A 27,734-nucleotide genomic window follows, 5' to 3' on the forward strand; every position below is an offset into this window, starting at 1 on the left:
TCCTGGAGGCAAAAGGGTCTAGGAGAGGAAGGAGGATAAAAATAATAGCTAACAATCATTGGGTTCTTAATATGTACCAGGTATTCTATAAAATTGTATTCACTCAATCCTCATGCTAGCCCTAGTTACTAGCTCACTAGCCTCATGCTAGTGAGATAGACACTACTATTACCACGTCACTGTAGAGATCAGCAAGTGGGGTTTAGAGGATAAATCTTGTGTAAGATCCTGTAGCCAGTCAGGGGCAGAGCAGCTGCCTCCAAAACCACTGTAAATCCACTGCCTTAACAATCCTCTCACTCCTGCACCTTTCTGCAGAACCAGCCAGTGTCTATTGGATGAGAAATGGTGACTTCCCCTACAGTGATCAATTAATCTACAAATACCTTCGTAACAAGTTGTCGCTATGGGTGTATAGATGTCATCCTACAAGCAGCCATACACTCTGCTTGTAGAAATTCTCCAATATTAACGAGTCTGTTGGTGACCACCATGGTCTCTAAGAATCGCAAATCCAGAGCCACACACAGACTCAAGAGGCTCACGACCACATGTCCCCACTTGTTCCTGAGGGAGCTGCGCAGCTGCTTGCCCCTACTCCCACAAGGCAGCCTGGGTGATCACACCTTCCATGGTTATCTCTGGTCCCCATGTGTCTCTCACAATGAAGACCCTGTGGCTGCCAAAAGTGGGCTCCTCCACACAAAAGGGAGGTTGAGTTTCGGTGGCTTTTATCACTGGCCCAGTACAGCTCCTGGGGAGCCACATAGCAGCCACTACATTGGGGGCTACTGCAAGGAACAGCTGTGCTGATACTGAGCCACTGCTACAGCAAGAAACTCCCTCTTGCCAGGCATGGTAGCTCCAGCCTGTAGTCCCAGCTACCTAGGAGGCAGAGGTGGGAGGATCATTTGAGGTCAGGAGTTTGAGGCCAGCCTAAGCATAGTCCCAGCTACCTAGGGGGCAAAGGTGGGAGGATCACTGGAGGTCAGGAGTTTGAGGCCAGACTAAGCAACATAGCAGGACCCTCCATCTCTAAAATTAACAATTAAAAAAATCAGCCTGGCGTGCTGGTACATGCCTGTAGCCCCAGCTACTCAAGAGGCTGACACAGGAGGATCACTTGAACCCATGAGTTTGAGATTGCAGTGTGCTGTGATCACACCACTGTACTCCAGCCTGGGCAACAAAGTGAGACCCCATCTCTAACAAAAAGAAAAAAGAGAAAAAGAACAAGAAACTCCCTTACTAAGGCAGCCTTGGCTCTCAGATGCTCAGGTGCTAAACTTACCTGAGAGTATGTGGTGAGAGGCTGCAGGTAGTGGAAAGAATGCAAGTTTTAGAAACCCCAGATACATGGCTGAGAGCTACTGCTCTGCCACTGAACACAGGGACCATGCCTTAACTAACTCTTAATTTCTCTAAGCCTCAGTTTCCTCATCATTTGAGTGGAGTTAATGTACTTGCCTTTAGGTCTAGCATGAGGATGCAATGATAAGGCTTATGGAGTGACTAGTACAGTGCGTGATGTATGGTGTTTGTTTAATAAGTATTAGAATGCTGTCTTCAAGAGCAGAGAGTTAATATTTTTCTTAAAAATCATATCAAACTCACACCGTATTGAGTGTAATCTTTATGCAACATCTGTACTATGCTTGTGTCTGAAAGTAAATGTAGTAATATTAAATAAACAAATCTGCCTAGAAAACTATTATAACTGTTCATTTTAAGCATTTATATATTCAGTCATCCAGAAGCATTTAAATGGATTTAGCCATCATCCAATTAGGAATGGAAAAATTCACAGCCTTACAAATGAAGTTATTTATGCTATTTTGTCATAGCCTACAAGTAAATGAATTATGCATAGGTTTATTAACAGTATGAAAACTTGTCCAAATCTATAACACTTTTTGTGTAATTTAATTTCCTATTCCAACTGCAATTTAAACATACAGTTTCCATTTAATTATTATGGTCACTGCAACCAGGGGTTTTTTTTTTTTTTCTTTTCTTTGAGGATTCTTTCTTGAGAAACTTAAGCTCTGCCATAAACTGTCTGGCAGAAGAAATATACGATTATAGCAGAAGTTCCAAAAGCATCAGCCAAGTCTCATAGTCCCTTTTATTCTCAATGGAGTCTTTCATCCCAAGATTTTAAAATTTTATTTATTTTTTTTTAGATGGAATCTCACTCTGTCATCCAGGCTGGAGTAAAGTGGTGCAATCTCGGCTCACTGCAACCTCCGCCACCTAGGTTCAAGAGATTCTCCTACCTCAGCCTCCCAAGTAGCTGGGATTATAGGTGCACACCACCACACCCAGGTAAATTTTTTTGAATTTTTAGTAGAGACAGGGTTTCACCATGTTGACCAGGCTGATCTTGAACTCCTGACCTCAGGTGATCCACCCACCTCAGCCTCCCAAAGTGCTGGGATTTACATGTGTGAGCCACTGCACATGGTCGATTTTAAAAATTTAAAAGCTTTAGATGAGAAGATCAACCTTTCACACGCCGTTAGCAAGCTTACTAGAATGTTCTGAGATGCTGTTGAACTTGCAAGGACTGGAATGGAACCCAATGAATGGGAAACCCTGTAGCTCAGCAGGATCATTTTCTGCAGTTCTCTGGGGAAAGCATTACTCACAAAGGGGCACGACAAGGGAGACGCAGAAGCCCCACTCTGGAGTGCGTGTCTTTCTAAGTCACCACTCTTGTTTATGAATAGACAGGAAAGTTCCGATTTATCAAATTTCTGATAAAGACACTCGAAAAAGGGTAATTTTGGAGTATCAAGAAAGACTAATTGATTCAAATCACTACATAATGCATAGATTTTGCAGTTGACACTCATGCATTCAATTATTGAGTAATAACTACTTTCCAGGAACTTTGTGAGTAAAAAGTAAACTAAACTAAGACAGGAAAGAATTGTTTTGTAATTAGAAAATTTAAAATAATTGAAATGCTTTTTTTTTTTTTAAAGATAGGCTCTTGCTATGTTCCCCAGGCTGGCCTCAAATTCCTGGACTCAAGCAATCCTCCTACCTCAGCCTCCTCAATAGCTGGGATTACAAGCATGTGTCACTGCACCCAGCTAAATGCTTTTAAGAAAAAAAAAAAAAAAAAAAAAAGGAGGGTGAAGGGGGAGAAGAGAAAAAAGTTGATTCATCTAAAGTGTTCATGTGAAAATACATAATACACTATATATATAAATTATATACACATATAATTCATATATTTGTTTTACACAATTACATAAATTATACATAGTTAGAGAGGGGAAAGGACAAAGGGAGAGAGGGAGCTTTTTCTTTCTGTAAGGCTTCCACATGTGACTTGTAACTCAAATACATAGATAGTCATTGCTATTGGCAGAGCATAAGAGATAGGGGAGTTTTGCTATCTCATACAGCTATCCCAGAAATAAAACGATATCACTGGGTGTCCCTTACATGCTACATATACATTAACACAAATACTTAACAAATTTATAGATAAGTATTATTATCACCATTTTATAGATAAATAAATTAACTTTCTAAGGGTCTGATTTTTCTACTACACTGAAACTTTCTAATGTCCAAAGCACTAAAAACTCCTATTACATAGTATGGTTCCCTAAAACAGCCATCCCAGAAGTAACAAATTATGGCTTTTTCTCAAAGTGGAAGAAATCAAGAAGCAGCCTAATTTGACAGGGTGTCCTATGCAAAAACTAGACCCCTTGAGATACTCCAACCACTGTCCTGCCCTTTGTCTCACATGCATATCAGTATATCCAAAAGGAATACCAAATCTCTGGCTCAAACAAACAAAAAGCCTAAAACAGCCTCCAATCATCCCTCACTCTACCAAGATTGGGATATTTTTTGTTTTGTTTTTTTTTGAGACTCTCACCCTACTGCCCAGGCTAGAGTGCAGTGGTGCTATCTTGGCTCACTGCAACCTCCGCCTCCCAGGTTCAAGTGATTCTCTTGCCTCAGCCTCCTGATTAGCTGGGATTACAGGCACCCGCCACCACACCTGGCTAATTTTTGTATTTTTAGTAGAGAAGGGGTTTCACCATGTTGGCCAGGCTGCTCTCAAACTCCTGACCTCAAATGATCCTCCCCACTTGGCATCCCAAAGTGCTGGGATTACAGGCGTGAGCCACCACACCTGGCCAAGATTGGGATACTTCTTAAACAGTTCCCTAGGCTCTTTCCAACTAGATCCAACCAACTCAGGTTTTTTTCATTAGCATAAAAACTCATTTCCAGTCCCCATGAAAATGTGCCAAAAACATATAGACCAAAAAACATCAAATTTAAAATAATTTCGTGAGAGGTTTGCCTCAGTGAGCAGCCTTCACGATGTATTTCATGGGTGCACCCAGAGACATTATAAGCTGGGGGTGGGGGGTAGGGACTAGACGGGGACTGCACCTGACATTTCTCTCATCTGCATATCTGGTGATGACAAGAGTAAGAAGCCCTTTTACCTATACCAGCCTCAGTTTCCCCCATGGCAAAATGGAGTTTTGGAGTATAAGGAATTCATCTTAATATGTGTATAACTTGCTTCACAGTGACATTGTGATACTTGAATAATAACGAAATTTTTTTGTCAAAACCGTAGAAATCATAATATTTGATCCTGTAAACTACTGACCATAAGATGTATAAGCCAAATGGTAATAAGGACAACAAAAGATCATTTAGTCGTTGGCTTTCACTTTCAAATACTTTCCTAATTTTTTCGTCTTTTCCGATAGAGGGTGCTATGATTCTACATGGTGTCACCTTGTCACTAGAAAACAGCCTTCTGCAGATGGGTTTATTCTTCAAGCTCAGCGAATTTAAGATAATTTATTTACATCTTCCTTTTGTTTTTAAGGCTAGAATCACAACTTAAAATTTTTCTCAACATGCTAATTTCTGTGACTCCCGCAGCACTGAGGCTATAAAAGGAATGACTTCTGGTCTGTCTTGCTTTGCACAAGGCATTCCCCAGGCTCCCTGACCAACTCAGTTACGCACCAGCAGGGGTCCCTGTGTACACTATGGCAGCTGCTTTCTCTCTTTCTCTCTCAAGCTCTACCAGTCCCTCATCCACACTCCCTTCTATATGCAAAAGAGCAATTCCTAGAAAGCCATGTAGGGAAAAATAAATTTCTAAAACTCTAGTTCTGTGTCCCCTTTGATTTGCATCATGAATTTAGGGTGCTTTCCCCATGGATTTTGCAGTGGTTCCTACAGCCAGAAGCTAAGCTCTCCCCACACAGTCCCCTTCACTCACACCCCTCCTCGCAGTGCCAGGCAGCTAATGATCTATAAAATGCATGCATTCTCCTGGGAACCAATTCATTAAAGGAAAGGAGTAAATTAATCCTGTTAAAAATCGAGCTTGTGACTTTGGATTTACTGGCATAGGAAGTTCTGTGTGGCTCAATGCCAAACATTCACACACTGCCTAAGCCGAGTTTGTGAGAACCTACCAGGCACTGGGCACTGTGCCAGGGGTTATTCTCCTCTACTCAAACGTGACCTCCTGAAAGAGGCCTTTCCAACCACCCAGCTGAAATAGCACCCTCTCTCACTTCCTCTTCCCATGTCTTCATGTATTTTTATTCATGTTTATCCCTGGTGTATATCACACGTATTGTGCATTTGTTTCTGGAATGTAACCTCCGTGCATTTAGTACTTCAGAATCTCTGGGCCCTGAAGCACCAGAACAGTCCCAGGACATCATATGAACTCAATAAATAGTTGTTGGATCAGCGAATCAGTCAATGACAATATACTCAAAGAAGAGTTATAATAGATGTCCGCCCCCACTGCGGCCACCTAGCGGACTCACCTATATCACATACCTGTACGTGTCCCACTGCCTCCTGCTTCTATTCTTGCCCCAAACCATTTCTCTAGAGATACCACAGCCAGAATGAGCACTTAAAAATGTAAAGCAGGCCAGGCGTGGTGGCTCACGCCTCTCATCCCAACACTTTGAGAGGCCGAGGCAGGTGGATCATGAGGTCAGGAGTTCAAGACCAGCCTTGCCAAGATGGTGAAACCCCGTCTCTACTAAAAAAAAAAATACAAAAATTAGCCAGGCATGGTGGCGGGCGCCTGTAATCCCAGCTACTCGGGAGGCTGAGGCAGGGAATTGCTTGAACCCGTGGGGCAGAGGTTGCAGTGAGCCGAGATCATGCCACTGCACTCCAGCCTGGGCAACAGAGTGAGACTCTGTCTCAAAAAAAAAAAAAAAAAAATTTTTTTTGAAGCAAATTATATCACTCCCTCCCTATAACCCTCAAATGGCACCCCATCAAGAAATAAAATCCAAACTCTTTGCATGCCTATATGATTGAGCCCTGCCTGCCTCTCCGATTTCATTCACGGCCTTCTTTCTGCCCTCCTCACATGCCAGGCTCTTTAGCAAGGGCCTGTGTGACTTTGTTTCCTCTGCCTTGGATGCTCTTCTTCCCCGGCCTCATCCCTGGCACAATTGGCTGTGTTAGATATCATTAAGGTCTCAGTTTCAGACAATTTTATATAAATCAATGCCCTGCTACATTTTATTTTCCCCATAGCATTTATCACCATTTGAAACTATTTGTACATTTGTTTACTAGTTGATCGTCTGTCTACTCCCATTCATCCCATCCATACCCTCCCCCCCACACACACATACATGCACACACACACACTAGAATGAAAGCACCATAAATCTAAGTCCTCATCTATCTACCACTATACGCTCAGTGCCTACAGTTCCTGGCACTTAGTAGGAGCTCAGTGAGTATGTTTGGAATGGATGACGGATGGAGTGGATGAATACAGGGTGCTACGGGAACACTGTGGAAAGAGGGACAAACTCTGCTATCATTTTATTTTTCTAAGTCATAGCATGGAACTACGTTTGACAACTTTGCTTTCTATGGGATGCAAATATACCTTATAACTGAGTCTTTGCTTAACGTCACTTCCTCCATGAGGCCTCCCCTGACACACCTATCTAAATGTGTTTTTCTTTTATTGTCTTTCATATTACTGTGCACTTTTCTTTCATTTTTATACTTCATAAGTATCCATTGATTAATGGAATCGCTTGTTTCACTTTTGTCTACTCAAGTAGACCACGAGTATCAGAGAGAGCATCAGATCTTTGCGCTCATTGCTGTATCCCTGGGGCTTACTACTGTGCCATACACCTGGAAAATTCAATCATCAGATGAATTGATGTGATGACATTGATGTATCACAGTATTCACAGCACAGTCTAAAAAACTTACAAATGAGCAAGAAATAAAAATTGCATGTGTGTACCTACACATGCATTTTAAAGCAGGAAATGCTCTACACATTTTTAATTAAAATTTTAGTTTTTCAAATTTCAGAATACTAAACATATCATTCCAAAGTTCAGTCACTGTGAATACAAAGAGTTGGGTCATGACTTTGGTCCTGACATCGACTTTCCCTGTGACTTGGGATCAATTTATTGATCAATTTATTCAATTACAATCGGTCTCTGTAATCATTCCTCTAGCTGCACTGTGAGAATTAATAAGCTAATATCTATACAGTACACAGAAGGGATTCTGCTACAAAGTCCTAAAGAAAAACAAAAAAAGCAAAATACAATTTCCAATCCCTAAATTCATGAGTTTTATTTAGCTTTATAGTTGCTCTGATATTGTTTTCACCTCCTGAAATATTCTTCTCACTCCTCTTTGACCCCGCACCTGTGAAGTTAGGTTGCCTCAAGCCTGGGCCCTCTGTAATTCTCACCGCACCATCTTCCTCTAGGAGCCCCTCATCCATTCTCTCACTTGGCAGCACCAGTGAGACCTGCTCTGTTCAAGCTGTGCTGGGTGATGAAGTACCACAGTGATGCTACGTCTGCTGTTCAACTAGGACCATTACATGGTTGTTCAAATCTACAACTCAGGCCAGGTGCGGTGGCTCACACATGTAATCCTAACACTTTGCGAGGCCAAGGCAGGCCGATCGCTGGAGCCCAGGACTTTGAGAACAGCCTGGGCAACAAGGTGAAACTCTGTCTCCACAAAAAACACAAAAATTAGCCAGGCATGGTGGCACATGCCTGGAGTCCCAGCTACTCAGGAGACTGAGGTGAGAGGATCGCTTGAGCCTGGGAGGTCAAGGCTACAGTAAACCATGATCATGCCACTGTACACCACCCTGGGTGACAGAGTGAGACCCTGTCTCAAAAAAAAAAAAAAAACCACCTGCAACTGCAGCTTCAGTCCTGATGTCCTTGGCAGGCCTCAGCTCTGCCATTTACAACTGCTTGCAGCACACTTTCAACTAAGTTTCCTGATGATACTTCCAACTCAACATGTTTGAAATTACGTAGGTCATTCTTTGCCCTGGCTGCCTTCTTCTTGGCCATAGAACTACCATTTTCTCAAATTCCAAGCTTAAAAACCTCAGTTATCTTTGGCCCCAATTTCTCCATTAACCCCTTGTATCCAATCATCACACAAATCCTTTGTTCCTTGGTTTCTTCCAGAATAATCATCACTTCCTGCTGCCTCTACCACCTCCCCAGTCTAGGCTCCTTTCCCCTCATACCAAGATAGTTGCAACTGCCTTACAACCATCGACTTATCTATGGCTTCTCACCACGTGAAGTCTTCCTCCATGTAAAAGATCTGATGCTCCCAAAATGGACTCAGATTAATATTCTCACCTCTCAGAAGCCCTTGTGGGCTGCCCTCTATTCAAGGACAAACACTAGACTCTTCATTCTGCTATTCAAGGTCATGTAATAACTGTCACCACCTACCATGTCAGGCACATCAGCCCCCACACCAAAAAGGACCATCTGTTCCAGTCAGCCTAAGGGACTCATTGTCCCGGGGCTCGGGAGCAGGAGCTCTGAGCTGGCTGTGTGGATGCAATTCCTCCCCTCCTCCCCTGCCATTTGCTCAGTAGGAGCCTTTGTTTGTATTGTATTGTATTTTATGTTATTTTGTTTCATTTTTTTGAGACAGGGTCTCACTCTGTTGCCCAGGCTGAAGTGCAGTGGGGCAATCTCTGCTCACTGCAACCTCTGCCTTCAATGGGAGCCTTTGAACCTGTCACTTCTACTCTGTGTACTTCCTTTTTTCATTCCTTTTTAAATGTAGATGACAAAGATGCCTGCCTTGTGGGGTGAGGTTAAATAAATCACTACTGTAAAGAGCTTGGCATAGTGTTGAGCCCACAAGGGCCCGGTAAATGTCAGCCAGCGTGACTGCTTCTTCGCATGCCCACGTCTGCCCCAACCATCTCACCCTCCCTTGGATCTGAAGGTCCTCTCCCCTCATCTACCTTTTTCTGAATTTTAAACAGTTTCAAAGGCAGAGCTCAAATTCAACTTCCTCTGTGGACTGCTGCCATTGTACATTCAGTCCTTCCCTCCCTCTCATGGTCACCAATCTCTAGATATTTGATGTTTAGCATTAGCTTGTTTGTTGCCTTTTTAAGCTATCTTCTTTATTTCAAGTAGATTGTAAGTTGCTTGAGGGCAAGAGCTCTATTGATTTTTATTTTATTTTTGTCATAATAGTATAAGAGTCTCAGCTAATGAGTTCTTAATATCTGTTATGCTGAGTTCGGCACTACTTATGTACACAAAATTATTTGTCTTTCTTTCAAGAATTTCACATGATATAACCAAAAAAAAGGAGGGATCTAAATCATTAGGAGACAATATCATTGCCTAGAAATCATTTACTTTACAAAATACCAAAATAAGAATGTTGCTTAATTAATTCAGGGTGTGGGTGGAAGATGTCAAATCAGTTCTGATCACAACTTGTCGGGCAATTCAACCAAAAGGGAAGAAAGAGAAGCCTCAGCCAGGAAGAACTGCCAAGGCAACGCTCTGGCATGACATGGAGCTCACCCCATCAGGGAGCGCAGACTGAAAACACAAGAAGGTTAGGAAATTACCTACTAAATGCTGTCGTTACTCCCACAGAGTAGGTATTTAATAAATGTTTGCTGAATTAACAAACCATGAATAAATGATAAATGGAAAAGATTCAGATGGCAAACTAAATACCTAGAACAATTCTCAATCTTTTCAAGGAATATTAATGAGGATTATACCCCTTTTCTCAGCGAAACTTCCCTTTTAGTCTTCGTTAAAGATAGAAACCAAGACTGGATGATCATTGATGTGACCTACTACAATGGTTCTTACAGTTTAAAGTATTATTGCCAAGATTTTAAGTGCAATATAAATTATGTCAGGTGTATATACAAGGAAAAAATTTTAAAATACATATTCTAAAAAATGTTAGCTCTGTTTAGGACCATAAGTGTAACATTAAAGTTCTAGTGCTGTTTCACATAATTGGTTATACACCACGAAGCGGCTAAGTTTTATCTCTTGGAACTTAATTGAAGCCCAAAGGACAGTCTCTTTGTATCATATAAAAATATAGAACATCAACGAGGAAAGCATCTGATACTTACACTCCCTTTAGACTTTCTGGATCCTACAATAGGAGGTAGTGAAGAAGCTTTCTGACTGTGGAAACAAATTGCAATTTAGAAATCTGAATGTTGTTTACAAATAATGTACAATGCAAGATAATTATCATCCCCACCTGGAAGTCAACTGTTTACTGCTGTGTTTCACAAAAGGTAGATAACATACACTTTAACACATACTTTCCCAATTTCACAAAGATCATAACATTTCCAAATTCCATCCCAAAAGATTTGTAATGTTTTCCTGTATAATATTTTAATCAATGCTTACAAGTAAACTTTTAGTATCACCTGAAATTTGTATAGCATTTTTATCCAGATCCCAAAGTGTCCTATTTGCATTTCAAAAAATCATTTCCAAATGTGAATAATGATTTTTCCAGACTGAGTTAAAAACAAATTTCCTTCGTTTCTATGATGTCTTCTATGTCTACCTCTGATAGGAGAGCAGAGGTAAAACACTGGCATTTGCATTCAGGTAGTTTTTAAACAAGTCGTCCTCACCAAAAAGTTAAAAATTATTTTAGGCTGTAAGAATAAGTTGTTTTGTTGATATCTGTATTATTAGGAAAAGACCCATCTTGAAACCCAACTGAATCTCTCCAAAAATAGAAGGACACATATATAAAAAAAATTCTTATTAATTGTATGAGAAAGGCCAACGTGAGTTACAGTTTTCTTATTACCATCAGGTACACACTGTTGATCACAGCAGGTTAACCTAGGGCTGCTTAGCAAAGATGGCTAAAGATTTGATTTCATGGATGGGTAAGGTTGGTTAGCGATAAGTCAGCTGGTAAATAATTCAAAGGTGCTAGAAAACCATGTGCTCTTGCATAGTTCAAACACCACCCCTGAAATTCCACTTCATCTATTACTTATTTAGAAGCTCTTGGCCAGCCTCTCCATCAAGTTACACAAATTGTGAATTAATTGCAAACACACTGGTGATATTCTGCTCTACTTCTGCGGACGACAACCAAAAAAAATTTTTTTTTGCAATGGCAAGGTGGCCACAGAATCTCTGGGAAAAGCAACAGAGATGGATCCCTGGGCACCATGAGCAAGCCGAGAGATCCTGCAGCATGGGCCAGAGCTCTTCTTTTTTTTTTTTTTTTTTTTTTTTTTTTTTTTTTTTTTTTGAGACGGAGTCTCGCTCTGTCGCCCAGGCTGGAGTGCAGTGGCGGGATCTCAGCTCACTGCAAGCTCCGCCTCCCGGGTTCACGCCATTCTCCTGCCTCAGCCTCCCAAGTAGCTGGGACTACAGGCGCCCGCCACTACGCCCGGCTAATTTTTTGTATTTTTAGTAGAGACGGGGTTTCACCGTTTTAGCCGGGATGGTCTCGATCTCCTGACCTCGTGATCCGCCCGCCTCGGCCTCCCAGAGTGCTGGGATTACAGGCGTGAGCCACCGCGCCCGGCCCAGAGCTCTTCTTGAGTGACTCCGCAGTGTATCTCCTAGGCTGAAATAAAGCATCTTTCACAAATATATGACATTTCATGGAGAAAAACTGTTTACGGTATATTGTAATTAAAAATATAATCCTTAAAATTTTACATGAATTAACTGTACACCCATCCTCTCTATTTGCATAAGTGGGATTATGTTGTTTTTATATTTTACAGTTATTATTAAAACAAGTATAAAATATTATGAGTTTTTTAACACTCTTGGATGTTTCTATCCAAACCAACTGAAAAGTTATTTGGTCTAGCAACTATTAAGACACAAAAACTTCTAATAATGTTTGCTGTAGAGAAGCTCATTGCCCTGTATCTTCTTCACAATAATAAATTTTTGCATTTACTTATAAATTTCATGCATGCTAAAAAAAAACCATGTAGTCTTTCATAACTTCCCAGAAATTATATTTTTGTTCAATAGCTTTCAGTCTCCCATCATGGCAATAAAAACAAAGATCAATGTATACCATATATGCTTTCCATTCTAAGTAATAAATAAGATTATCAATTACATAAAATATAATGGTGGTCAGCAAAAGACCCAATGCTATTTCAAGTGGTAACTAAAGCATGAGGAGTGGTAAGGAGTAAGACTTACCCAAAAGGCCTTCTCATCGTTGACTTGTCAAAAAGTAACTCACTGTAAGGCAGTTTCTTAAACTTATCTCTGCCAACAGCCACATAAAACTGCCCATTCTCCAACTCTGCTCCACTCTCAACAAGTTTTCCTTCTAAAGTATAAAGCCTGTCGAAAATATGAACACCAACAATTAGAATTTTAACCAACATTTAAAGAATTGCTTAAGATTACAAAGTATTCTGGATGTCAAAAAAATTAAAATTACATAGTAAATAAAAACATTCTGTACTTAATTTAGCTCATTTGTTACTATCCTCATTATTGCATTATAGATGCCTCAAAGTTATCAGATTCCACTAAATACTAATGTTATAATGCAGATACAATGACTATCTTGCTGTACAGGGTTTCACCCCAGTGAGTCTGATGATCTGGCATAAGGATCCCTATTGCTGCCATATTAAAATTTTAGAGGAGAAAAATTAACTTGTACAGATCACAGTGCTTTAAATAAAGCTCTGTTTCCATTGAACATTGATTCTTCTATTTATATTTTGTTAATACTTTTTTTTTTTTTTTTTTTTTTTTTTGAGACGGAGTCTCGCTCTGTCGCCCAGGCTGGAGTGCAGTGGCAGGATCTCGGCTCACTGCAAGCTCCGCCTCCCGGGTTCATGCCATTCTCCTGCCTCAGCCTCCCAAGTAGCTGGGACTACAGGCGCCCGCCACTACGCCCGGCTAATTTTTTGTATTTTTAGTAGAGACCGGGTTTCACCGTTTTAGCCGGGATGGTCTCGATCTCCTGACCTCGTGATCCGCCCGCCTCGGCCTCCCAAAGTGCTGGGATTACAGGCATGAGCCACCGCGCCCGGCCTTGTTAATACTTTTAAATTTTATTTTCTTAGCATATTCATCAGGCTGGCAAGCTTCTGACCACATTCTGTGTAAGAACAGCCCTCAACCAAAATATTACATACAAACACACAGAGAACCGGGTCAGGAACAATGGGGTGAGAGGGCAGGAGGTAAAAGAACCCATTGCCAGTGTTAATGATGCAGAACTGCATAGCATTTGTGCTTCTTTCTTTTTTTTTGCCGTCCCTACTAAGCAAAACAAGAGTGAACATTATATCTTCCCAGAATCGAGCAGTTTCACAGTAACCTTCCTTTACTGTAAAACTGCTGCTACGAGCTACAATTAATATGTTACTTATTAAAAGAACAGTCATAATTTTACCAGATGATTTTAAATGTCCACAAAAATTTTTTTAAAGAACAGGAAAATAAGTATTAGAAAACTAAACCAGAAAGACAGTGCATATTTTTTAAGGTTATAAGCAAGAGCTATTAATAAATGGAAGGATTTCAGTATCATCAAAAAGCTTTCTGTCTTCCTATATTACATAATAAGATTAAATGTCATTTACAGACGCAAAAAAAAAAACCCATTGACCTGTCAGCTTGTTTCCTGATGACATAAATGGCCATATCATACAGAACCATGAAATACAATGAAAATAGCCACCAATAGCCACCAACATTCCTGAAATGTATTTGTGTTTTTAGTTAGTATACAGATGGTAAAGTCTCTTTCTTTATAACATTGTACCTCTACTCCTAACAAGTCTAAATATCAACACTTAACCCAGAATTCTATGTTTTTTGCCTTAACTTAAGCTGGACATGGTGGCCTATGCCTATAGTTCCAGCTACTTGGAAGGCTAAGGCAAGAGGATCGCTTGAGCCCAGGAGTTCAAGACCAGCCTGGGCAACATAGTAAGACGCTATCTCAAAAAACACTTGACCAGGGTTTCTGAATACTGGCATTATTGACATTTTGGACCAGATAATTCTTTGCTGGAAAGGTGAGTAGGCTGCCCTGTACATTGTAAGATGTTTATTAGCAGCACCTTTGGCCTCCACCCACTAAACAGTAGCAGTAGCCACCCCATCCCCAGTTGGGACTACCAAAAATGGTTTCAGGCACTGCCAAATGTCCCCAAGGGGCAAAATCATACCTGCTTGAGAGCCAATGGCCTATATCCAAGCACTATTTTTCTACTTTTCTTCAAAATAGTTATATCTCAATCAGTAGTAATTTCATAGCTAGAAATTAAAAACCAGCATAGCTGTGGACTCTGGAAACAGCCAAGATTTGACTTGTTTCCTCTGCAGGTAAGTAAAACGCAGTGAATAAATTCTTTTTGTTAATAGAGACAAGGTTTTGCTATGTTGCCCAGGTTGGTCTCGAACTCCTGGGCTCAAGTGATCCTCCCAAGGTGCTGGGATTACAGACGTGAGCCACCACACCTGGCCCAGCACTGAATAAATTCTAATTCATGATTTTAGCCTTCTTTTATATAACTGTTGTTGCTCTACTTTCTTCTTTTGCTACAAACACAAGAAACATAAAAAGCAAGTTCAGTAAATTTTTATGGGATGCTTTTTATATATGAATATACTGATGCATAGGGAGGGGCCAACCATAAGATTTATTAACGTTAAAGGAAAACGGTCATATCCCAAGAGAGCAGCAACCAAATCTCTCATATCTGCCATTACATTAAGAATTTCACCTATCCTAAATATATACGCACCCAACACAGGAGCACCCAGATTCATAAAGCAAGTTCTTAGAAATCCACAAAGAGACTTAGACTCCCACATAATAGTGGGAAACTTCAACACTCCACTGACAGTATTAGATAGATCATAAAAGCAGAAAATTAGCAAAGATATTCAGGACCTGAACTCAACCTTGGACAAAATGGATGTGATAAACCTCTATGGAACTCTCTATCCCAAAACAGAATATACATTTTTCTTATTGCCACATGGCACATACCCTAAAATTAACCACAAAACCAAACATAAAACAATCCTCAGAAAATGTAAAAGAATCAAAATCATACCAAACACACCCTCAGATCGCAGCACAATAAAAATAGAAACCAAGACTTTAAAAATTGCTCAAAACCATGCAATTACATGGAAATTAAAAAACTTGCTCCTGAGTGACTTTGGGGTAAATAATAAAATTAAGGCAGAAATCAAGAAGTTCTTTGAAACTGAGAACAAAAATACAACATACCAGAATCTCTGAGACATAGCTAAGGCTGTGTTAAGAGGAAAATTTATAGCACTAAATGCCCACATCAAAAAGTTGCCTGGGCATGGTGTCTTATGCCTATAATCCCAGCACTTGGGAGGCTGAGCCGGGCAGATTGTCTGAGCTCAGGAGTTTGAGGCCAGCCTGGGCAACATAGTGAAACCCCGTCTCTACAAAAAATACAAAAAAATTAGCTGGGTATGGTGGCACACTCCTGTAGTTCCAGCTGCTTGGCTGAGGTGGGAGGATCGCTTGAGCCCAGGAGGTTGAGGCTGCAATGAACAGAGATCATGCCACTGCACTTTAGCCTGGGCAACAGAGTGAGACCCTGTCTCCAAAAAAAAAGTTAGAAAGATCTCAAATGAACAACCTAATAACACAACTAAAAGAACTAAAGCAGCAAGAACAAACCAACTCCAGAGCTAGCAGAAGACAAGAAATAACCAAAATCAGAGGTGAACTGAAGGAGATCGAGACATGAAAAACTATTCAAAAGATCAATGGATCCAGGAGTTGGTTTTTAAAAAAAAATTAATAAGATACATAGGCCACCGGCTGAATTAATAAAGGAGAAAAGAGAGAAGATCCAAATGAACACAATTAGGAACGACAAATGGGATGTTACCACTGACCCTACAGAAATAAAAATAACCATCAGAAACTACTATGAACACCTCTATGCACACACTAGAAAACCTGAAAGGGATGGATAAATTCCTGGACACATACACCCTCCCAAGACTGAACCAGGAAGAAATTTATTCCCTGAATAAACCAATAACAAACTCTTAAAATTGAATCCGTAATGAATAGCCTACCGATCAAAAAAAGCCTCGGACCAGACAGATTCACAGTCGAATTCTACCAGATGTACAAAATGTGGTACCATTTCTAGTGAAACTATTCCAAAAAATTGAGGAGGAGGAACTCCTCCTCAACTTGTTCTATGAGGCCAGCATCATCCTGATACCCAAACCTGGCAGAGACACAACAAAAAAGAAAGCTTCACGCCAAGTTTGTTGTCCTTGATGAACATCAATACAAAAGTCCTCAACAAAATACTTGCAAACTGAATCCAGCAGTACCTCAAAAAGCTAATCCACCATGATCAAATAGGCTTTATCCCTGGGATGCAAGGTTCATTCAACATATGCAAATCAATAAACGTGATTCACCACATAAACAGAACTTAAAACAAAAACCATATGATTATCTCAATAGATGCAGAAAAGGCTTTCGATAAAATTCAACATCCCTTCAAGTTAAAAACTCTCAATAAACTAGGTATTGAAGGAACATAAAATAATAAGAGCCATCTATGAGAAACCCACAGCTAACATCACACGGAATGGGCAAAAACTGGAAGCATTCCCCTTGAAAACCAGCAGAAGAAAGAGATGCCTTCTCTCGCCACTCCTATTCAACATAGTATTGGAAGCCCTTCCTAGGGCAGTCATCAGGCAAGACAAAGAATTAAAGGGCATCCAAATAGGAAAAGATGAAGTCCAAACTATCCCTGTTTGCAGATGACATGATTCTATATCTAGAAAATCTCACAGTCTCGGCCCAAAAGCTCTTTCAGCTGAGAAATAACTTCAGAAAAGTTTCAGGATACAAAATCAATGTACAAAAATCAGTAGCATTCCTATACTCCAACAACACCCAAGCTGAGCACCATATCAGGAGCACATTTTCATAATTGGCACAAAAAATAAAATAAAATATCTAGGACTACAGCTAACCAGGCGGGTAAAAGATCTCTACAATGAGAACTACAAAACACTGCCTAAAGAAATCAGAGATGACACAAACAAACAGGAAAAAACAGCCCATGGTCATGGATAGGAAGAATTAGTATCATGAAAATGGCCATATACTGCCCAAAGCAATTTACAGATTCAATATTACTGCTATCAAACTACCATTAACATTCTTCACAGAACTAGAAAAAACTATTTTAAAATTTAAATGGAACCAAAAAAGAACCTAAATAGCCAACACAATCCTAAGCAAAAAGAACAAAGCTGGAGCCATCCTGTTACCCAACTTCAAACTATGTTACATGGATTCAGTAACCAAAACAGCATGGTATTGGGACAAAAACAGACAATGTAGACCAACGGAACCAAATAGAGACCCCAGAAATAACACAGTACACCTACTTCCATCTGTTCTTCGACAAAACTAACAAAAACAAGCAATGGGGAAAGGAGTCCCTATTCAATAAATGGTGCTGGGATAACTGGCTAGCCAGATACAGATGACTGAAATTGAACTCCTTCCTTATACCATACACAAAAATCAACTCAAAATGGATTAAAGACTTAAACATAAAACGCAAAACTATAAAAGCCCTGGAAGACAACCTAGGCAATACCATCCTGGGCAAAGGAACTGGTAAAGATTTCATGACAAAGACACCAAAAGCAATCAAAACAAAAGCAAAAATTTACCAATTGGGAAACTTAAGAGCTTCTGCACATCAAAAGAAACTATCAACAGAGTAAACAGATAAACTACAGAATGGGAGAAACTTTTGCAAACTATGCATCTGACAAAGGTCTAATATCCAGCATCTATAAGGAACTTAAACTTACAAGAAAAAAAACAACCCCATTAAAAAGTGGGCAAAGGACATGAACAGACACTTTTCAAAAGAAGACATACTTGCAGCCAACAAGCATATGAAAAAGAGCTCAATATCACTTATCACTAGAGAAATGCAAACAAAAAGCACAATGATACACCATCTCATGCCAGTCAAAATGGTTATTATTAAAAAGTCAAAAAATAATAGATGCTGGAAAAGCTGCAGAGAAAAGAGAATGCTTATACACTACTGGCAGAGTGTAAACTAGTTCAATCATTGTGGAAAGCAGTGTGGCAATTCCTCAGAGAGCTAAAAACAGAACTACCGTTTGACCCAGCAATCCCATTACTGGGTATACACCCAAAAGAATATAAATCATTCTACCATAAAGACCCATGCACACATATGTTCATTGCAGCACTATTCACAGTAGCAAAGAAAAGGAATTAAACTAAATGTCCATCAGTGGTAGACTGGATAAAGAAAAAGTGGTACATATACACCATGGAATACTATGCAGCCATAAAAAAGGGTCAGATCATGTCCTTTGCAGGAACATGGAAAGAGCTGGAGGCCATCATCCTTTACAAACTAACACAGGAACAGAAAACCTCACACCACATGTCCTCACTTACAAGGGGGAGATAAATGAGGACACATGCGCACAAAGAGAAGAACAACAGGCACTGGGGCCTACTTGAGGGTAGAGGGTGGGAGGAGAGAGAGGAACAGTAAAAGTAACTATTGGGTACTAGGCTTAGTACCTGGGTGACAAAATAATCTGTACAACAAACTACCGTGACACAAGTTTACCTATGCAACTAACCTGCACATGTACCCGTGAACCTAAAATACAAGTTTAAAAAAAAAGAAGTTTCTCTAAGTATTCAAGTGTTTGAGCAACATAACTATACTTTCATTTCTATATTTTTACTTGAATATATTTTATTTCTGTGTGTAAATTTTTTCATATTAATATATGTATGAATAGGTATATCTGGCTGTGAAATTACCTGTATATACCTTTGTGTCCTTTTTATTACTTATAGGGTGGATTTACATTTATGTATATGTCAAATGTCAAAATTATATATGTAAAAAAAATTGTAATTATTGAGATCTGCCTTTACTTATGACACCAAAATAAAATCCAACAAAATCAAAGGTTTAAATAAAATTTTAAAATACAAGGAGAAAACATAGGAGAATATTCTTATAATCTTGGAGTAAGGAAGATCTAAACAAGTCATAAAACGTAGTGATTATAAAGATTGAAAATTAGACTGCATTAAAATTTAAGATATTTGTATGAAAAAAGAAATGTAAAGAAAATGCAAACTGGAAGTGTACTTAAAACATATCAGAAAAGGCCAATTTCCCCAATATGTCTAGAGCAGTGGTCCCCAACTTTTTTAGCACCAGGAACTGGTTTTGCGGAAGATAATTTCTCCACAGACGGAGTGGGGGACGGGATGGTTATGAGATGACATTGTTCCACCTCAAATCATCAGGAATTAGATTCTCATAAGGAACACACAACCTAGATACCTCGCATGCACAGTTCACAATAGGCTTCATGCTCCTATGAGAATCTAATGCTGCTGCTGATCTGACAGGGGGTGGAGTGCAGGCGGTGATGCTCGCCTGCCACTCACCTCCTGCTGTGCAGTCGGGTTCCTAACAGGCCACGGAATGGTACCAGTCCATGGCCTGGGGGTTGGGGAACCCTGGAGAGTGCCTATAAATCAATAAGATAAACGTGCAAAGGCCATGACAGACAGTTCAGATACAATGGATATAAATATGTGGCATTTACTTACAGAGTACCTTGGTCATTTAGAACACAGGCTCTGGAGCCGGAATGCCTACTAGGCTTGAATCCCAGCCCTGCTACTCAGTATCTCCATAACCCTGGGCAAATAATTTTCCTGCTCTATGTCTCACATCTCATGTCTATTAAAAGAGAATAGAAACACTACCTACCTCATAGGGTCGCTCAGTTAATTAAGTCAAAAATATAAAGCACTGAGAATAATGCCTGACACATAAGAAATAGTCAATAGATGATGTTGTATATTAAATAAAAATCCCAAAACAATGAAATACTATTTTCACGCAACATGAGTGAAAAGACTAAATGTTAGTTTTACTAGACAGGTAACAGTATGACAAACAGGCCCGTTCATAGACTTCCGGTGAAAATATAAATTAGAATAAACTCTTTGGAAGGCAATTGGCAGTATCTATCAAAATGTTAAAGGCATTTGAAACTTAATACAACAATTCAACTTCTAGACTTTTATATCCTGATAAACTTTGCTTATACAAAAAGACATGTACATGTAATAGCAAAAGATTAGAAATGACCTAAATATCCATCAAACCCAAAGGAAAATAAATCATTCTACCAAAAAGAAGCATGCACTGGTACGTTCACTGCCGTGCTATTCACAATAGCAAAGATGTGGAATCAGTCTAGGTGCTCCATCAATGGTGGGCTGGATAAAGAAAATATGGTGTATATACACCATGGAATACTACGCAGCCAGGAAAATACTGAAATCCTGTCCTTTGCAGCAATATGGATGCAGCTGGAGGCCATAATCCTAAGCAAATTAATGCAGGAACAGAAAACCAAATACTACTTATTCTCACTAGTAAGTGGGAGCTTAAATATTGGGTACAGATGGACATAAAAATAGGAACAGTAGATACTGTTGACTGCTAGAGAGGGGAGGGAAATAGAGTGAAAAACTACTTATTGGGTACTATGCTCACTTCCTGGGTGACAACATCTGTACCCGAAATCTCAGCATCATGCAATATACCCATGTAACAAACCTGCAAATGTATTCCCTGAACCTAAAATAAACAAATGAAATTATAAAAAAGAGGTAACTGGTCTAAAAAATTAAGTTGGGAACACTCATTCTATTTTATAAAATGAGATGTTGCCCAACTAAAAATTTCTTAATGAAAAAATTAGGATTTGGAATACTTTGTGTTAAAATAGAATACTTTGGGCCAGTCGCAGTGGCTCACACCTGTAATCCTAGCACTTTGGGAGGCCAAGGCGGGTGGATTGCTTGAGGTCAGGAGTTTGAAACTAGCCTGGCCAACATGGTGAAACCCAGTTTCTACGAAAAAAAATTTTTTTTAATTAGATGGGCATGGTGGCAGGCGCCTGTAATCCCAGCTGTTTGAGAGGCTGAGGCAGGAGAATCACTTGAACCCAGGAGGTGGAGGTTGCAGTGAGCCAAGATCCCACCATTGCACTCCAGTCTGGGCAACAAGAGTGAAACTCCATCTCAAAAAAAAATAAAAATAAAAATAAATAAAATACTTTGTAGTCATTAAAAATAATAAAATAGAGGTATCTGTGCTGATAAGAATAATCTCTAAGATTTATTATAGGAAAAAATCAAGGGGGTGTTTGTATACATGTATTTATTTATTTATACATATGTATGCATTTCCATTTAATGTTTTTAAAAAGTGGTCCAGGTACAGTGGCTCACACCTGTAATCCCAGCACTTTGGGAGGCCAAGGCGGGCGGATTGCTTGACCCCAGGAGTTCAAGACCAGCTTGGGCAACATGACAAAATCTAATCTCTACAAAAAAGAAAAAAAAAACAAAAGCTAGACGTTGTGGTGCATGCTACTTGGGAGGTTGAGGTAAGAGTATCAATTGAGTCTGCACAATCGAGGCTGCAGTGAGCTGAGATCACACCATTGCACTCCAGCCTGGGTGACACAGCGAGACCCTGTCTCAAAAAAATGAAATTAAAAATTAAAAATGTATATGCTTGCACATGCATAGAATATTTCCGGGATGATGCTGAAAAGTACTAGGGAGAAGGACTGGACATGCCTAAGATAGGAGAAATGCTCTTTACTTATATCGTATTTGAATTTTTTGCCACATGTAAAGTATTCCTTTCAATTAAAACACCTAATTATATTTAAAATCTCAATGACTATGAGACTGTGGATATTAATATGTGTAAATATACAAACATTAATCTGCATACACATTTACCTGAAAGACGTAATATGCAATCATTTGAGAACTATTTTATCACGTGTGTATGAAAACACAAACACTTGAAACAGTGTACTCTGCTAAAGCAGTATATACATATACATACTTTTAATATGTTGTGCACATGTATATGTTATTTGTAACCCTCCCATCTGACGGAAAATAAATGTCAGCCTCCATCAAGGGATAATTTCATAGGCTTCACAATTTAAATCTATGATGTTAATCTTCACTTAAATGTTGGAACCTGAAAAAAATGCTTTTGACTTCTTACATTTAGACAACCCCACTAAATTATTCTTTCTATGCCTCCTCTTTAAATGCACTAATACTTCCTGATATCTGATTTTTACCCTAGGCAAATAGTTTAAACTATCAAATAATCATAAATGACCCCTTTAAAAAAAAAAAACGGACAATTAAGAGTTAAGAGGCTGGGCCGGGCTTGGTGGCTCAAGCCTGTAATCCCAGGACTTTGGGAGGCCAAGGCGGGCGGATCACGAGGTCAGGAGATCGAGCCCATCCTGGCTAACATGGAGAAACCCCGTCTCTACTAAAAATACAAAAAATTAGCCGGGCGTGGTGGTGGGCGCCTGTGGTCCCAGCTACTCGGGAGGCTGAGGCAGGAGAATGGCGTGAACCCGGGAGGCGGAGCTTGCAGTGAGCTGAGATCGTGCCACTGCACACCAGCCTGGGCGACAGAGCAAGGCTCCATCTCAAAAAAAAAAAAAAAAAAAAAAAGTTAAGGGGCTGGCTCTTTCAAAAAATCCTTCTCAACTAAAGTTATGTTTGCCTAGTCACTCTAAATCAAAGAATAAAAATCGTTAATATTTGTAGATGTGCTACTATGTGCCAATGACTGTTTTAAGCTCTGTATGTGGATTACCTCATTTTAAACAACGCTATGAGGTATATCTCCATTCTACAGATAAAGAAACTGAGGCATACGGGGCCTAACTGGGGAGCCAAAATTCAAATCCACAGACCAGTGACTCCGGAGCCTCCTGAGAATATCTTCAACAATTCAAAAACTCCTCCACTTACAAGATTGTTTTGACATACCTGTGAACAGCCCCGCTCCTCAGAGTGATTTTTTCTGTGACCATTTGTAGTACATGATCCCACTGATTCAAGGTTTTTCTGGGGATAAGGAGGCGAGAAGCTGGGTTTATGAGGTCTCCATTTGCAATCAAGCTGGAAAACAGGGGGCAAACCTTCTGAAACAGTTATGCCTTGAAAACTACAACACAAATTCCAAACCAAAAGGAAACCACCAAGCCAATTTTAACTTGAAGTATAAAGGGTTTCAACTTACAAGATAGTGCACGGCTCCTGAAGCGGTTTTCTAAAGCGAGCTGACACGTTGATCCTGCTATGGATTACTGGTTTTACCTTTAAAAGCAAAGGAAAAAAAATATAAACCACTAAGCTTATATTAGCTTTTTTTTTCCTATGAGGAAAATCTACAGTTTCTAGGGAACTGCCTGAGACTTCCTGTGCCTTTGTTAAAACCTTGCTTTTCTCAGCATTTCTGTAAACTCTGAGCTCACCCTTTAGCAATATTATAAGCCCTTAACAAAGCTCTCAAGAAAAGAAAGGAAAATTTCCCTTAAGCCCTAGGCACACTGCTCATGATCTGTGGAAAAAAAAAAAAAACAGAAATCATTTTCTGTTACGAAAATATTAAGATAATTTTTAAACAATGCATTCTGAAAAACAACAAAATAATCCTATAAAATCTTGAGCTCTGAAGTGCTGTGCCTGCAGCCCAACATACTGTGTTCCATCATCTTTCCTTTCCCATTCCCATGCACCTGCTTTCTGATCCTTGGCCCCCACCAAGTGCCTGACCCCACCCTTTTCTCTTAAGACTGACACAAGCAATTTTTCCCAGGTTTCACTTTCTCCCCTATCCCCCATTGAATCAGGTACACTCACGCCAGCACCCTCAATTCCCGCAGCCCTTGCCACTGGGTAGATGTGATCACCTTTGCCTCTCTTTTTGCTTCCAGGGTCCCAGCTGCTATTAGAGAGAACCACGGGGCCCCATGAGCAGCCCTCACCTGAGACCAGCTTTCAGCATCAAGCCATCACCTGGACCTCAGTATAGCTTGCTCAGCCAGCCCTCCACTCCTCCCACAGTTCTTTTTTCCATTTCCCACAGTGGATAGTCCAAATCCTCACCTCTCATCTCACCTCACCCCTCACCTAACCCTTAAAATCCCACTCCAGGCACACACACTCTCAGCAGGTCATTTCATTCCAAATGTCAAGAAATAGAAGCCAGTAGACACGAAGCCCCTCAACTTTCCTTCCCTCCACAACTCACCTCATCTAGATCCTCACCATTTTTCTCCTTTTCTGCCTGTCTCAGAAGGAACTATATGCCTTTAGGAAGCTAACCCCACATCTTGATTTTGTCCCCGGCTGTCTCTGCTTGTTCATTCATTTAAGACCTCCATCTCTACCTGGTGCCTTTAATTTTCCCCTTGACCTTATGGCCGCTCTCAAGTACAGCTGCCATCTCTCTCTTCATTATTCCTATTCCGACTTCCTCCCTATCCTCTCTTCAGGCTTCTGCCGTCTGGTGTCCACCTTTAATACTGGAAGATAAATCCCGACTTTCAAGCATGGCCTGCAAGAACTCCCAGGGCCAAGTGCCGCTTACTTGGTGCCCTCATCTCCTACCAACACTCCTTCCACACAGACTCCTCGTCACGCACTGTAGTTGAACCAGCCTGCTCCCCTCCATTCCCAAAACATCCCCTGCATCCACACCTTGCCTTTGCCCCTCTGGCTAAAACGCCCTCCTCATTTCTCCACCTACTGGAATTCCATCTGCTCTTCAAGGCCCAGCTCAGTTATCACCAATCATTCCCTGCTCATTCTTCTTGCGCTTTCTGTCTCAAACTGCTACAGCTACTATAGTATTGATTCTTGCACTTTGAGTTTTAGGTGATTTTACCCCATGATTTGAAAGGAAAACTTACAAACAACACTAATTTATAAAAATAGGTAACAGTTGTGCTATATTTCATGGCAAGCACCGTACTAAGTAATTTATATGCATTATATATTTTCTAATCATCAAAACAGTGTCCTGAAGTGGCATTACTATAGTCCCAATTTACTAAAGAAACTGGAGCTTGATTAATTAATTGGCCTAAAATCACACATAATAAGTGGTAGAGTTTTAGTGAACCTATGTCTATGAGCCCCTACTATTTGCTACGCACTTTGCTAGTTATCTTAAAAATCAAATAGTAGCCCTAGATCATTTATGGGACTCCATTCTTGGTAGAATTATGCCATCTCTGAGAGAAACAAGAATGAATATTTTTTCTGTGACTCTCAAGTGCCTAAAACAGTGCTTGGCAATGCCTACGAGTTGCACAATAAATGTTTGTTAAAATGTCATACTCTAGAGTACAATTTTTAAAATTTAATCATAGTAACTTTTTTTCATTTTAAGCACACAGGTTCTTAGCCCTACACTAACACCTAGCATCACATTAAGTGACGCTGACTTTTTAAAAAATGTTTAACAGGGCTGGGTGTGTTGGCTCACGCCTGTAATCCCAACACTTTGGGAGGCTGAGGCAGGTGGATCTCCTAAGGTCAGGAGTTGGAGACCAGCCTGGCCAACATGGTGAAACCCTATCTCTACTGAAAATACAAAACTTAGCTGAGTGTGGTGGTGTGCACCTGTAGTTCCAGCTACTCAGGAGGCTGAAGCATGAGAATTGCTTGAAACCGGGAGGCAGAGGTTGCAATGATCTGAGATGGCACCATTGCACTCCAGCCTGGGCAACAAAGCGAGACTCTGTCTCAAAAGAAAAAATAAAATAAAATGTTTAGCAGGTAATGCACGCACCTGAACAAAATTCAAGTGGTTAAAGGGGGTGTACAGTAAAAAAGAAGTGTCCTTCCCACTCCTATGCCCTAATCACCAAGCTGCAACCAGAGTTAGAAATATTCCTTCAAAGATAGTCTGTACATACACATGCATATTATCTTATGTACATAGCACATACATACAATTTTTAAATGCGCTGATGGCCTGCTTTACCAATTCTTCAGCACCTTGCTTTTTTAATTTAATAATTTATCATGGAGATTGTTTCAAATGGGTACTTACAAGTGAGGGTTATATCATTTTTTTTCCCTTTTAGAGACAGGGTGTTGCTCTGTCACCCAGGCTAGAGTACAGTGGTGCGATCACAGCTCACTGTAACCTCAAATTCCTGGGCTTAAGCATTCCTCCTTAGTGCCTTAGCTAGCAATGCACTAAGCACATACAGAGGATGCTCTGCTGTTATCTCTTCAATATGTGACTCTCTAACCATACCCATTCTTGATGGTTTAAAATCTTGTTGGGTTATTGAATTAAAGGCAAAAGTTAATATGTTATATCAATAAGTAACTTTAAAAATCTTGTTGCATTGTCTAAAACATGCTGTTTTGCTTTAGAGCACAGATAGCTATAAACAATATATTGAAATTCATAAAAATACATGATTGTTGAAATAATTATGTAATTTGATTCTGAGTATGTAAATTATTACTTGAATTCAATCAAACCATCTGTTTTAAATAATAATTGTTTTCCTCATTCGGCATGGCAAAAGTGTTCCCCAAATGTTCATGATTAACCAGTTGAATTGAAAACTAATCTTAAAGTTATATTTCCTTGAGTTACATAATTAAAATAACTAAATTACTGTTTTCAGATACACTAAAAATCTGAAAAACTACTCAAAGTAGTATACCTGAATTGTAAAAGAAACAAAAAGATAATTATAAAAAATGATTCATACTTTTTAAAAACAATACCAGTTTTTATATAAAATGCATTTTTAGCAGGCATTTTAAGTAATAAACAACACACAAAAAAATTAAACCAAATCAACTGGGTATAAGAGGAACTTCTCCAGAGCCCTAATCGGGGATAAAGGGTTGGTCAGTTGGTGGTACTCTAGGGACATGATGGCTTTAGATGATGGGGAACATAATGATAAATTAGAATTTTTAAATCAATTTTCTTATTAGCCCATACACTTCCCCTTGCACTGTAAACATAAATGCCACTTCAGGCCAGGTGCAGTGGCTTACACCTATAATCCCAGCACTTTGGGAGGCCAAGGGGGGGTGGATCACCTGAGGTCAGGAGTTCGAGACCAGCCATGGCCAACATGGTGAAACCCCATCTCTACTAAAAATACAAAAATTATCTGGGCGTGGTGGTATGCACCTGTAATTCCAACTACTTGGAAGCTGAGGGATGAGAATCACTTGAACCCAGAAGGCAGTGGTTGCAGTGAGCCAAGATTGCACCACTGCACTTCAGCCTGGGCAACAAGAGCAAAACTCTGTCTCAAAAAAAAAAGAAAGGAAAGAAAAGAAATGCTACTTGAAATATGAGGGTAATATTAAGTATCAACACTCCTAGTTACAAG

At 39.9% G+C, this 27,734-nt stretch overlaps 1 protein-coding gene across 2 annotated transcripts in view; it reads right to left on the bottom strand.

Annotated features, from left to right (window-relative positions):
* The window catches only part of DCDC2 (doublecortin domain containing 2), a 211,538-nt gene that overhangs the window by 106,620 nt on the left and 77,184 nt on the right, over nucleotides 1-27,734 (bottom strand). For both annotated transcript variants that reach the window (NM_001195610.2, NM_016356.5), the window contains 4 exons: nucleotides 23,594-23,670; nucleotides 23,341-23,472; nucleotides 12,558-12,704; nucleotides 10,478-10,532 (listed from right to left, as the gene is read on the bottom strand). In NM_001195610.2, the coding sequence (NP_001182539.1) occupies nucleotides 10,478-10,532; nucleotides 12,558-12,704; nucleotides 23,341-23,472; nucleotides 23,594-23,670 (411 nt within the window). The remainder of the gene's footprint in view (nucleotides 1-10,477; nucleotides 10,533-12,557; nucleotides 12,705-23,340; nucleotides 23,473-23,593; nucleotides 23,671-27,734) is intronic.

This window comes from Homo sapiens, chromosome 6 (assembly GCF_000001405.40).
Source record: "Homo sapiens chromosome 6, GRCh38.p14 Primary Assembly".
NCBI lineage: Eukaryota > Metazoa > Chordata > Mammalia > Primates > Hominidae > Homo > Homo sapiens.